Here is a 14547-nt window from a genome sequence, read left to right on the forward strand (position 1 = left end):
AAATCTTTTTGTTTATGGTTCTTGAGTTTTGTGTCATAGAGAGGTTTTTCCAACTCTCGAAGAATTCTCTCGAGATTTCTTAGAACTGATTTATAATTTCATTATTTACTCTGAAATCTTTGATTCAATTGTATATTTTCCTGGTGCAAGTGGGAGGGGTTAAGACAATTTTAGTTTTATTTTTAGATGGCTACCTGGTTTCCCAAAATCATTTATAAAATAACTGTCTTCTCACCATTGACTGGAAGATTTCACCTTTATCTTTGTTAAGTAAAAGAGAAGGCTTTATAAATGAGGGTTTTAGAATATATTTGAATGCTGACACTTAATCCCAGTGCAACACTGTTGGGAGTTGCGGCCTTTGGGGTATTTAGGTCATAAGGGCTCCACCTTCATGAATGGATTAATGTTGTTATAAAAGCCCTTTATGAAGGAGTTTGGTCCTCTGTCCCTTCTGTCTTCTGCCATGTGAGGACACAGTGTTTCTCTTCTTTGGATGACACAGTGTTCAAAATGCCATTGTGGAAGCCAAGAGCAGCCCTCACCAGATGCTGGTGCCTTGATCTTGGACTTCTCAGCCTTCAGAATGGTAAGAAATAGATTTCTGTTCTTTATAAGTTCTGTTCTTTATAGGTCTGTGCTATTATACTAGCACAAAATGGACTAAGACAATGAACATGTATGCAGATATGTTTAAATTTCATGGTGGAAAGAAAGATGACTTCTATTTTCCTGTTGTAGTAGAGGGTGTTGATGGATACAAGGCAGCAAAGTCCATTTCTGCTATAACAAAACACCATAGACTGATGGCGTAAACAATCAATATTTGTTGCTCACAGTTCAGAAGGCTGGAAGTGCAAGATCAAGCTGTCAGCAGATTTGGTGTCTGGTGAGAACCTGCTTCCTTGTTCATAGACAGCTGTCTGCTTCCTGTGTCTTCACCTGGCAGGAGGGTTAAGGGAACTCGCGGGAGCCTCTTTCATAAGGGCATGAATCTCATTCTTGAGGGCTCCACACTTACGACCTAATCACCCCCTAAAGTCCCCATCTCTTAATTCTATCACCCGGGGGGTCAGGATCTCAGCATTCAAATTTAAGTTGGGGGACACGAACATTCAGATCATGGCATAAACCAACCGTTCTAATTGCATTATTTTCTCTAGAAATGATCGGCTGCCTCTGTGTGGGCAAAGAAAAGGCCTATCTACCTTGGAAACAAAGCTTTGGAAAACTCATTGCTGGTCTAAAGAAACAGACAATTGAGGCCAGGCGCTGTGGCTCATGCCTATGCTCCCAGCACTTTGGGGAGCCGAGGTGAGAGGATCTCTTGAGCCCAGGAGTTCAAGACCAGCTTGGGTAACATAGTGAGACCCCACGTCTACCAAAAAAACATTAATAAATTAGCCAGGCATGGTGGCTTGTGTCTGTGGTCACAGCTACTCAGGAGGCTGAGGTGGGAGGACTGCTTGAGCCTGGGAGGTCGAGGATACTGTGAACCATGATCGCACCACTGTGCTCCACCCTAGTCAACAGAGCAAAGCCCCATTTAAAAAAAAAAAAGGAAAAAGAAAAGAAAAAGAAAAAATGAAATACACAATTGGACAGTAAAAGAGCCTCTAAAGGGGAAGCAAACAAGAGGTTAATAGGGCATTGATGACTAAGAACCCATTTTGCAATATTCTCTGGAGCTGGCCTTGCATTTAGAATGAATGTGAACCTGAAACTCTTCAGGATTCAGGGCAGGGGATGGCATATGATCTATTTGCCTACACTTTGCTTCAGCTGACAGCAGCCGGCAGGTCATGATCCCTGTTTTCTCCCATGATTTGTTGTCTCAGCTGCCAGATGACAGTGCTATTGGGCTGCTCCTAACTATGATCACTCCTTAGCCTGTCCTCGGGTAGCTCTTGCTTCCAGATTTTATTAACCCACACATCCCAGCTGGGTTTCTGGAAACCCCCACCCACCCACCCTGTGAACTGCTGACGTTGCTGATGACTGTGGGCAGTGAGAGCAGCAAGTGGGAAACAATCTTATGAAAGAGAGAAGAATGTGAGTCAGCTGGATAGATGGTATTATGTGAAAGAAAGAAGATGCATTGGGAAAGTAGGATAAGCCTCATTCTTTTAATAAATACTCATCAAAAGCTGATTACAGAATAGTACTGGATTATAAGATTGAAGTTCCTCCTAAGCCTTTCCCATAAAGATAGGAAGCATGATTTCATCTTTCATTTCATCTTTGAAGATATTGGTTACTGGTCTTCATATGAGCTAAGTGCTCATTAAATGGTTGCTGAATGGATTAATAAAGGAGGGACTATTTTAGTGTCTTTGCTTGTGCCATTCTCTCCCTGGAACACTTTCCCTTTTCTAATATAACTCCAGAAATTCCACTTTCGTCTGAAGGCTCCCCCCTCCTCCATGAAGCCTTATGTGACTAACTTCTGCCTAAAGTTAGCTTCCCCTTTCTAAAGTCTATGGTACAGATAGTTGAATCTATGTCAATAACACATTCTGTCCAATATTTTGCTTCCATATTCCTCTCTCCCACTGTGGATCTTTTTAATGCTGTGTAGATACAGAAATATACATTCTTACTCTCCAACAAGTGTGTGCATTTCCTAAATGCAGGGATGACATCTTTGACTTCTTTCCGAATGTCCATGGTTCCTGATAGCGTACTGGGCACAAAGTACTGCCCTCGAAGTACTTATTTATTTGACTACCTATTATCTCTATCTAAAGCAAATATTGTTAGAAAAAGGCTGAGGCTTATTGTTAACCCATACAGGACAGAGAATTGTAATGATCTTTCTTCCTAATCCTTAGCTTAATCCTCCTAATCCTGTAGCTTAAACCCTGAAAATGTTTGCATCCTTGATCTATAAGGAATGTTATAGCATGTGACTCTATTAAGTGTGGAAAATTGAAAGGCAAATTAAAATATTTTTATTTGGCAGCATCATGAAACTGTTGAGGTCTATAGACATAATCTTCATATGAATGCTAAACGTAGTACTTACTATCAATAGATGTTCAAGTCCAATGTTACTGAGCTGTGACTGTAGCAATTCGCTAATCTTCCTTTGAACATACACTATTTACTTTTTAAAGTCTTAGTTAAAAAATCAATTTTTTTCTCTCTAGTGAATTTTATGATGCTTTTGTTTTATATTATTCAACCTAAAACTTCTGAGATTTTTAAAAGGCTAACAGCAGGTTGTGAATGTTCAAATAGACAAAATTACAAAGTACACATTCATTACTGACTTAGCTCAGCTTCCTGAGATAATCAGAAGTTAAATTTCATCAGCTCTCTCTACCCGAAGGCTATGGCACTACCACAAAGATAAATTCTTTTTTTTTGAGATGGAGTCTCGCTCTGTCTCCCAGGCTGGAGTGCACTGGCGTGATCTCAGCTCACTGCAAGCTCCGCCTCCTGGGTTCACGCCATTCTCCTGCCTCAGCCTCCCCAGTAGCTGGGACTATTAGGTGTCTGCCACCACTCCCAGTTAATTTTTTGTATTTTTAGTAGAGATGGTGTTTCACCTTGTTAGCCAGGATGGTCTCGATCTCCTGACCTTGTGATCCGCCCGCCTCGGCCTCCCAAAGTGCTGGGATTATAGGCGTGAGCCACCGCGCCTGGCCCCACAAAGATAAATTCTTTGAATCAGAGAGAATGAATACTAATATTAGAGTTGAGACGGGTAAAAGGGCAACAGAAGGATTATGGGGTGCATAGAAGAGGAGGCTTTGACAATCTAGATACTTTCTCTCCCAAGCCCAAGTATGTATTATTTTGTATTGTTATTACCCCTTAGTCATAGACTGGAGACTTATGCCAGGATTTATTGACTCTTCAAGTCTCATTATCAATCTGCATTTAAGATTTAACAGCAAAGTTTGAGATTGAAAGATTACTTGTTCAGACACAAAATAACTTGATCTTCTTGTGGAAACTCAGCTTTAAATAAATAAATAAATAAAATAACAATAGATTTCAACAGTAAAGTCTTTGTTTGGCTGGGCGCAGTGGCTCACACCTGTAATGCCAGCACTTTGGGAGGCTGAGGTGGGCAGATAACCTGAGGTCAGGAGTTTGAGACCAGCCTGGCCAAGATAGTGAAACCCTTTCTCTACTAAAAATACAAAAATTAGCCAGATGTGGTGGTGTGCACCTGTAATCCCAGCTACTCAGGAGGCTGGGGCAGGAGAATCACTTGAGCCCAGGAGGCGGAGGTTGCAGTGAGCCGAGATTACACCACTGCAGTCCAGCCTGGGCCACAGAGTGAGACTCCATCTAAAAAAAAAAAAAAAAAAAAAAAAAAAAAGGCTGAGAAAATGGTAAACATGTAAGTCTTAATACATTGTTTTTATATAATGATTACAACAATAAGTCTATTCTGTACAGTTAGATATAAGGATATAACTAGACTTTTTCTTACAGTAGCATGTACGTCATGAGGGAGGATGTGATAGGAGTCAAAGTGCTCTAAGATTGGGATGATTATATGTCCCAATTTGCCCAGGAGAGTTCATGCTTGTGCCTGTTTTCCCAGTGTAATAGTTAATACTACCCCCTTATCTCAACAGCATCCTAACTTAGATGATAAATTACTTGGCTACTTTACACATATAGGACTTAGTGACCTGGTGAACTTGGGGAACAAGCAACAGAGCAGAGGCAAAGATAAAGTTAAGATCTCATTCCTGGTTGTCTCATCGTGTGGTAGGGCCACTGACATAAACACTGGGTGAGCTTGTGAATACTTGTCTCAGATCTGGAACTTCTAGTAGGATGTTTCCTAAGACCGAGAAGATGGTTGGTTCCACCCATTCCAATTATTTGGGTTATTAATTGTTCTGAGGCATTTCAGTTAGTTAAATCTAACCTGTCATCCCTCAGTTCTTCTTTGAGTATATGAGAAAACCTAAGAGGCTCCCAAGTTGACTGTACAGCTGAGAGTTTTCCACTGAGAAGTCCAAAAAGGCCCCGTTGTCATCAACCTCACATTTACCATGATAGGGTCTATAATTCCAAGTTAACTGGGTGAGGAAGGGGCTCAGGTTTCTATTTGCATTAAGCTATAGAGAATAGGAGGAATAGTTTCCTATTTAAAAAATAAATTTTTTAAAGTGTGAATATTCCATAAACCAACAAACAGAAAGAAATTTAGAATGTGCTCACTGAATTAGTCAGTTCAGTAATAATTATGGTGGTGATTCTGGAGAAGGGCGTGGAAGAGACAGCTTGGGGAAGAGAACAGTGCTAAGACAAGAACCAGAAGGCCTGGATTCTGGGTTTGATTATGCCCCTTCTGGCAATGGGATCTTGAATAAGTCATTTATCTTCTTTAAATTGCAGTTTCTTCTGTAAAATGAATTAAGAGAAAAATTAAGAATATTTGTAAGCACTAGCCATGTGCCAGGCACTACTCTAAGCACTTTATGAATCTCTAAAACAAACCAATGTATTATTGGCATTATTTCCATTCTAAAGATGAGGAAATTGAAGCATGGAGAGATGAGTTAACCTTCCTAAGACCACGCCCCTTCTCAGTGGCACCTCTAAGATTTGAAACTGGGCACTATGCTTTAACTCTCCTGACTACCATCGGGTATGCCCGTTCACCATTTTACATTCTGCTATATGTCTTGGGAAAATGACCCATGTGGGTGTCCTTGCTCTCTGGCTTCCAGTTGGGTTCCAACAGTGACAAGAGATTGGAGAGTGGGAGGACAGATTGGTTTCTTTCTCTTCCCAGTTGCCTCCCTAAGAGGCCATCACAGATTGGCTGATTCTTTTATCAAACGTGGTGTCTCTTGTCGAGTGCCCTCTCCATACAGTTAACCTATACCAGTTCTAAAAACTGCTTTTTTTTCCCCCTCCATTCTCTTTTAGGCTAGGAATAGTAACAGCTCTTTGATCTTGCCAGTCTGGGATACTGCACCACCCTTTGCTGTCAGAATCCTTTCTGATTACACATTGCAACTTTAAAGTTGCACATGATGTACTCTACCAGAAGGAAGCTGATTTCGTGGTCACAATACTATCTGTCTGGAGTGGTGGGGGTTCTGCTTAGCAAGGACTCCCCTAGTTGGGCCTCTTAGAATGGAGAAAGTTGACAGTTTCAGGACTGAGATATTTGAGAAAATCAGGAGGGTGCTGAACAGCTTTGTTTCTTAACTTCCTGGCCAGAATGTGTAGATTTTCAGTACCTCCCAACGTTTCCAGATGTATTTAGCTCCTACACACTAACCTTCTTTCATTACTGAATGTGTCATGGAGTTAACACATATTCTTGCTTCTGCCTGAAACCTTCTTTCTTCTTTTTGCATAGAAAACTCAGATATCAGCATGAATGTTACTTGCTTAGGGAAGCCTTCCCTGGAACAAACCCCTCATTTCTGCCAGGATGGATGAGTATCCTCATATATGCTCTAACAGCTTTCTGAGCCTTTCCTTCACAACACTTAACATAGTTTCTAATTATGCATTTGGTGGTTATTGGATCCATATCTCCCCTCTCCCTAGAAAGGAAGTTCCAAAAGGTCTGAGGTTGGTTTTGACTTTGCTCGACATTAAATTTCCAGGACTGAGCACAGTTACTGACTCTGGTGGTCACTGAAAAATGCTATTATGTATCCATGGACAGATGTATGACTAAGCATCATGTAAACTGGTGACGATGGTAGACTGGGAAGAATAAAATGAGAGCGCTATCTAGTGGCACCAGGTGCAACAAGCAAAATGGGGCCAAGTTTTTGCCTGAGGCCTTACAAAAGTGTTGAAATCCTTGTGGAGAAAATTTTCTTTTTCTCAGGAGGGCAGTAGAATATCCTTAGAAGTGACTAGACTTATGACAGTAATGACATGAGGAAGAATATGTCACAAAGTTAACAGGAAGATTGACTCCAATCACAAGAAGTGAGGGCTGCAGAGGCCATGAAGGGATGGAAAACTTTTTCTTAGTTTTATCACTACTGGGTAATGGGCAGAGCCTGGGAGACAGAGAAGAGAACAGGCCGTATGGAGCACGCATCAACAACCCTGAGCTTCAGAGCACTTAGTACTGCAAGAAGAATGTGTAAGAAACTCTGGAACCCAGTTCCTGGGAGAGTGAGGGAACACCAGTGATTTCATTGGTATTAGGCTTGAAATATTGATTATTTTCTTTATTCCATATTTCACATTGTTATCCACATACCCCTTCTGACTACATACAGCACCAGGTGTAGGAAATGTGTGTTAGAAGATGATGTTTTTTGCCTTAACCATTGATTTTAATGATCATTTCATCCTCTCTGCTCTACCCTAAGTGGCCTTTCAGAGTCAATTGTGGCTTATTTCATAATTATCTTTTTCAGACTACTTCTGTACATTGGTACCACATCTGTAATGAACCATCGACTCATCTATTTCCCAATTCATTTGAATCTAGAATTTGGCAAGCCTTTCTTTTTTAGTGTGTTTTTTAATTTGACTCCGCATTTTTCTGTTTAGGTTGCACACTTGAAAAAAAGCTTTACCCCTTTTTTGAAAAGTTGGCAGACGTCTTTTTTTTTGAGACAGGGTCTCACTCTGTTGCTCAGGCTGGAGTGCAGTGGCGCGACCTTGGCTCACTGCAACCTCCACCTCCCGGGCTCAAGTGATCTTCCCACTTAGCCTTCTGGGTAGCTGGGACTACAGGCACGTGCCACCAGGCCCAGATAATTTTTTGTATTTTCTAGAGACAGGATTTCGCCATATTGTCCAGGCTGGTCTTAAACTCTTGAGCTCAAGCGATCCATCCGCCTCAGCCTCTTGAAGTACTGGGATTGCAGGTATGTGCCACCGTGCCCAGCCACAGACGTCTTAATGAAAATGAACCATTACAGTAATATACTAGGGCAAGGGCAATTTGTTCATTATCGACAAGCAAATCACTAAATTATGTAAATTACTGGATTAGACAGGCAGAATTACTTTTCTTTCAGAGAATAATCAAATATTACTTTAAAATGTTCATTTGTTTAAGTTTTTGGCTTTAGATCCAGAAAATCCAAATATTTGAATTTACATCTATTAAAAACCAAATTCAACCTCGAGACCGAAGTCCATCATTCATAGTCCACAGTAGAATATATGAAACCACGAAGATTTTTAATTTCCCTTAATAAACCTGTTTATTGAGCACTTCTATTTCCCCTCCTTCCCCCTATTTTTGTTTTAAAACATCCTTTCATGAAAGAACAATATTTAAATAAACCTTTGAGGAACAGATAGAGCTATTTAACAAGTGAGGTAATTATATATTATCATTCCCACATGATGGGGGTTTATAAAGGATTTAAAAGTTTGTTTCTGCATTTGTTTTCAAGGACTTGCCCAAGCACGGAAACTCCATATATATCAGCGACTAGGGAAAATTGATTCTAATAGATTTTTCTTCCAAGAACAGGAATCTTTCTATTTCATATTGCACATGAATATTAAGTAAACTACCTGCTGGAAACAGAAAAAAAAGCTTTACTCAAATATAAGTTGCTGATTTAAATAAACTGTTGTACTTTAAATAGAAAAAAACTCTAAATATAAATAATAAAGTAGCATTTCTAAGTGTAGCTACTAGGTTTATTACTGAGTTCTGCAGGGAACTGAATGACCTAACCCCAAATACCATCCTTTTATGACCAATTTGTGTGGACAGTTATAAATAGTGCAGTGAACTCTGCCTACAAGGCTGTAAGCCAAAAATTTTTGAGTGAATAAAGGGACTGCTGTTCTTTGTGAATAAGCAATTATTAAATGTTGTTTCTGAAACTGGAAGCTGAGTAAAGCAGTTTGTCAGTAGACAGTCTAATATAAAAGAAATTAATTTGATAAAAGTTCCCTCAAAAATGGCTTATGTACTTTGTACACTATGTATGGATCTATTTACACATGTAAAAATTACTTCCATGTAGACATAGCATTGATATATTTATTTATTAAAATTTCTTCATTAGAATAAATTATATAGCGTCAAAACTTTGGCAACATTTTAGTGTAAGAACTGTTTGTGCTCTTAAAAAACTATTCTGTTTATAACTATAATACATATTCACTGGAGAACGTGCAACAATAAATGCATACTGACTAAAAGAAGAATGAAAACTATTCAAACTCTTACCTTCTAGAAGCAATCAAGTGTAACTTACCTCCAAAGTTATGACTCGCAGCTCTTTCCTAGTTAGTGAATATAGGTGTACATCACCATTTTAAATTGCTGCTGTTGGCATAATTGATTTTTAAAACCAACTTTCAAAACCAACTTGTATAAGCCCAGATTTTAACTGGGACATGCAATTCTAGGGCAGCAAGAGTGGAGGAAAAGATACAGGGAATAGTGGCAGAGAAGGAGCAACACCATGCAATGTGTTTTGCTTCCTGATGACACTCTCAGAGGCAAAGTCTGTTAGCGGGGGCACTTCCTGGATCAGGCACTATGTGCTCAGAAAGGCCGTATGGAGAAATCCTATCTTGGAACAGTCTTTTAAAGGAAAGAAGGGGAAGGTATTTATCTGCTGCCTCCTTTTGACTTCTTTCTTCCACTGGTCAAATTTTGTCTCATGAGGAAGTTTACTCCCTCACATCACTCAGCATCTTTGGGAGTCACTTGCCAAACCACATCCCATGTCCTGAAATGAGATTCTCTATCTAAATTTGGAAGTGACAGGAAGGACCAGAGACTGTAAATGTGTAGCTGACGGCCCCAGGAGGTAGATTTTTATAGGTCTACACCTAGCAGGTCAGTCATAGCAAGTGCTTAGGTAAAACAAAGCAAACCAGGGTCAATGAGACAGCTAAGAAAACCTGTGGAGGCAAATAAGATATGTACTGAAGAAATAATTTAGGTTATTTTCCACAATAACTAAGGCTGCAGTGAGAATCTTTTTGCATATATCTTGTGTACTTCTATGTGTATGGTCTTAGAATAAATTTCCAGGAGATATATTACTGAGTCAAAAGTTACAATTACTGTAACTGTGATACACTTGAAAAATTGCCCTCTAGAAAGGTTAGACCAATTTTATTCCATCCAACAGTCACAAGAATACTCATTTCCTCATGAACTTGCCAACGCTGTAATTTGTGTCAGTCAGTGTTTGTGAGATTATGCTGCAGTAACTAATGACCTGGCAAATGGCAGTGGCTTACAACCAACATTTTTTTCCTTTTCACATATGTTAGCTGCAGATTGACTTAAGCTCTTCTCCATGTGCCATTGATCTCAGGGCTCAGACTAAAGGAGCAGCCCCATCTCAGTCTGATGCCAAAGGAAGCAGAGGGATAATGAAACTCCAGAATGACTCTTAAAAATTCTCTGCTCAGAAATGACACATATCACACTTGCTTACATTTCACTGGTCAGAGCAAGTCATACTGCAAAGGCTGATTTCAGTGAAGCAGAGAGTTATAATCCTTGAAAAGGAAGAGGCAGTGAATAACTGGTAAAAAATATAATCTACCACATTATCTTTGCCAATGAAATGTGGGAATGGAATAATATAATTATTTTAAATGTACACTTCTTTGATTACTAGTTAGGTTGAAACATTTTTGTATGCTTATTGGCAATTCATTTTTCTTCTTTTGGAAATTGTTCTTGCCTTTTGCCCATTTTCTGACTGAATGCTTTCTTATTAATTTGTAAGACTTTTTGCATATGAAAGATGTATATATTTCCTTCATTCAATTTAAATAATGATGTTTTTCCAAAGACAAATTTTTAAATGCATGTGGTCAAATACATGTTTTTTTTTTTAAAAAATGGTTTTCTATTTCATTTCTTGCCTTAGTGTAGAAGAATGTTACATTAATGTTTCCCAATGAATCATGCCTCCAAGCATCCATGCCCTTTTGTGGTCCCCTCCCACTGCAACTTGGCCATGAAGCTTTCTTTGGCCAAAGAGAAATTAGCAAAGCATGATGCAAGGAAAAAGCTTGATAAGCACTTACACGTTGAAACTTACACACTGAAACTTACACCTTGAAACGTCTCCTCTTGGAATGCTCTATCACCGAGACTTGAGCCAACATCTAAAGAGGTCCAGACATGTTGAGACTCCATGCTATGAGAGAAAGAGGGGCATATCTGACTAGGTCGCAGCTTTTCCAGCCCTCCTCGTGGAGGCACCAGACATGTGAATGAAACCATTGAGATTTCCACACCTGAGTTGAGTGACCACTGGCAACACCAGCAAAGTGCTTCCCACTAGAGGCCAGTCCAGTTGCAGAATCGTGGTTACAAATATGGTGGTTGTTTTGAGCCATGAAGTTTTTGCTTAATCAATAGCTGAAATGCTTAGTGTCCTCCTTTTCTCAAGAATTTAAAATGTTCACCTGTAGTTACTTTGCTGGTTTTATAGTTGTTTTGGGTAAACATTCAGCTTTGTCCATTTGAAATAAATTCTTGGGTAAGGAGTGGAGTGAGAATTTAATGACAGTTACTGTTATTACTTCCATTTCGCAAATGAAGAAACTAAGGCTTAGGCTTAGTGAAGTTAAGTGACTTGTCTAAAACCAGACAATAAGAAGCAGATCAAGATTCTTACAGTCTGACCCCAGAGCTCGAGCTCTTACCCCTATACTGTGGACCTGGAGCCCAGGCAAGGGCAAGGGGTCTGCCCTGCCCCTCATCAATAGCTGCACATCACTTCACAAACAAGCATCTTCACACTTGCTCTGTGTCTTTTATAAAATATGGTAATTAGAAAGATTGCTTTTAAATATTTTTACCCTGATTTATTTTTATCCTAAAAATAGGATCTATTTTTACCCTACTTTCAAAAACAGGCTATACTTCTATTGGAATTTAGCGCATGTGGTAGAGACACTGCCAGATTAGAAGGAACCTGATTTAGCATTTGGGTTCAAGGTGAAGACTTGGTTTGGGATGAGTGAGTGTTTGAACAAGAGGAAAGAAGGAACTACTCCCAGTGATTTCTCCAGGTTTTTGTGTCAAAGGAGCATCTAGGATATGGGATTCTGTCCTTTCAGTGATGTTGTTGGTGGAGGAGGAAAGTTTGATGGGGAAAGTTAGCTTTAAGCATATGTGCCATCTCCAGCAGGTGTTGGTATTCATACCATACACTCCTGACTCCCACCAGGAGGCTTGTGGTGACAGGCTGCAAGCTACATGATTCCCGGGGTGGTCAGAGGTGTCAGGGAGTCTCCTTCCAATAGTCAGTTCTTGAGATCATTGGTATTGAAATCCAGCTTGAGGTCAAGAAAGAAGGTGTGTCGCAGGCTCAATTAGTCCCTAAAACATAATCACGGAAATACAGATCCTGAGGGGGTTGCTTCTTAATGAAAGATAGCTAGAGAGGCTGGATTAAGACACAGATTGAGGCTGGGCATGGTGGCTCACGCCTGTAATCCCAGCACTTTGGGAGGCCGAGCAGGCGGATCACCTGAGGTTGGGAGTTCGAGACCAGCCTGACCAATATGGAGAAACCCCATCTCTACTAAAAACACAGAATTAGCCAGGCATGGTGGCGCATGCCTGTAATCCCAGATATTTGGGAGTCTGAGCAGGAGAATCACTTGAAGCCGGGAGGCGGAGGTTGCGGTGAGCCGAGATTGCGCCATTGCACTCCAGCCTGGGCAAAAAGAGTGAAACTCCATCTAAAAAAAAAAAAAAAAAAAAAAAAGACACAGATTGAACGTACATGAGTTTCCCCTTGGGTTCATTCTATGAAGTCACAGGGGAAAGTGTATCTATATCTACATCTACAATGTCTATAGATATCTCCATCAAATGCCGGAAACCAAAAGAACACCGTGAACAGACCCACAGTTCTGAAGAATTATCAAATGTGTAAACCAGAGGGAAATGCTTTCAATTCAGGTGGTTAATTAAGCACAAACATTTATCTACTCTTCCTACTGAGACTCCCATTAAAATGATGATAAACAAAATTTTTTTAAAAAGTATAAGCCCACAACAAGATAGGGCACACCCAGAAAGCAAATATTTAATAATAAAGATGAGTCAAGGAAATTAACACTAACATAAATACAAGAGGCAGTTGATCTACCCAGCAGACTACATAGAACTTCCAGATTCAAAAGTCTGAGTTGACAGGTGGGGTGGAAATCAATGGGACTGATTGAAGATTCAGATACAGATTATGTGGCTCCACATACCTACCCTTTCTCCTTCATCAACCTCAACAGCAACTGGGTATTCATTCCTTGGTCAAAAGTGGACTGGAAGGATTTTTCCTTAAGTAATAGAACAAATCAACGGGGATAAACTGGGGCAGCTAGTGTGGACTTGATATTCCCGATAAAGTCCTTCTCATTCTGGCATTCAGGGTACCCCAGGCTCTCATCCACTCACTTTAAAGTGAAGCCAATGGGAATAGGCTGTTTCACTCCTTCCCACTCTGCAGGTGAAAGAGTCTTGTAATAGGACAGTCACCTATATCCCAGAAGAGGAGGTGGAACCCAGATACTATAACAACTGTAAAAAAATCTCAGGTGAGAACAATTGTCCTTCACTACCCCAAATATCATTCTTTAGATGATAGAAAATGAGAGTGGGCTATCAATATGTAGATTCAGGGAAGCAAAATACTGTTAAATATAGTGAAAAGAACATAAAGAAATCACATATATTATGTAAGAACAAATGGAATTATCTAGCAGAGCTTCCAAGCATTAGCAAAATGAAAGAAAATACATGGAAATTTTGCAAGACATATAGACACACACACTTACATCTATATGTGTATACATTACTATAGTTTGGATGTTTTTCCCCTCCAGATCTCATGTTGAAATTAGATCCCCAGTGTTGGAGGTGGGACCTAATGGTAGGTGTTTTGGTCATGGGGGTGGACCCCTCATGAACAGGTTAATGATTTCTCTGGCAGCAGGGGAATGATTGAGTGAGTTCTTACAATATTGGTTCCCACAAGAGATGGTTGTTAAAGAGAGCATGGCACCTCTCCCCATCTCTCTTTGCTTCTTCTCTTGCCATGTGATCTCTGCAAACATTGGCTGCCCTTTGCTTTCCACCACGAATGGACGCAGCCTGAGGTCCTCACCAGATGCAGATGCCAGAGCCATGCTTCTTGTATAGCCTACAGAACTATGAGTCAAATAAACCTCTTTTCTTTATAAATTACCCAGCCTCAAGTATTCCTTTATAGCAACACAAAACAGACATACATATACATACATACATGTATACACACACATGTATATACAAATATAGGAATACATCCATACAAATATATATGGTGAAAAGGAATATAGCAGGCAAAGGACAAAACCCAACTTAGGAAAAATGACTCAGAACATTCCCTACAATTACTTACCATGATATTGCAGAGCTAGAGGAACAAATCTAGAAACAGATCAATGTATTAATGGAAAATTCATCTGTGATAAAAATCAGTGGGGTTTGGATTCAGTAAACGGTACAGTGGCAAGTAGCTATCCATGGAGAAAAATAGAAAGTTATATCCTTGATTCATACAATATACAAAAGTTCATATGGCTTAAAGAGCTAAA

The 14547-nt window shown here is 39.8% G+C and overlaps 1 long non-coding RNA gene across 1 annotated transcript in view; it reads left to right on the forward strand.

Moving 5' to 3' along the window:
- Positions 1–443: 443 nt before the first annotated feature.
- The window catches only part of GCLC-AS1 (GCLC antisense RNA 1), a 75418-nt gene continuing 61314 nt past the window's right edge, over positions 444–14547 (forward strand). Inside the window, exon 1 of the long non-coding RNA NR_183318.1 lies at positions 444–589. This is a non-coding gene — a long non-coding RNA (GCLC antisense RNA 1). The remainder of the gene's footprint in view (positions 590–14547) is intronic.

This window comes from Homo sapiens, chromosome 6, assembly GCF_000001405.40.
Source record: "Homo sapiens chromosome 6, GRCh38.p14 Primary Assembly".
Taxonomy (NCBI): domain Eukaryota; kingdom Metazoa; phylum Chordata; class Mammalia; order Primates; family Hominidae; genus Homo; species Homo sapiens.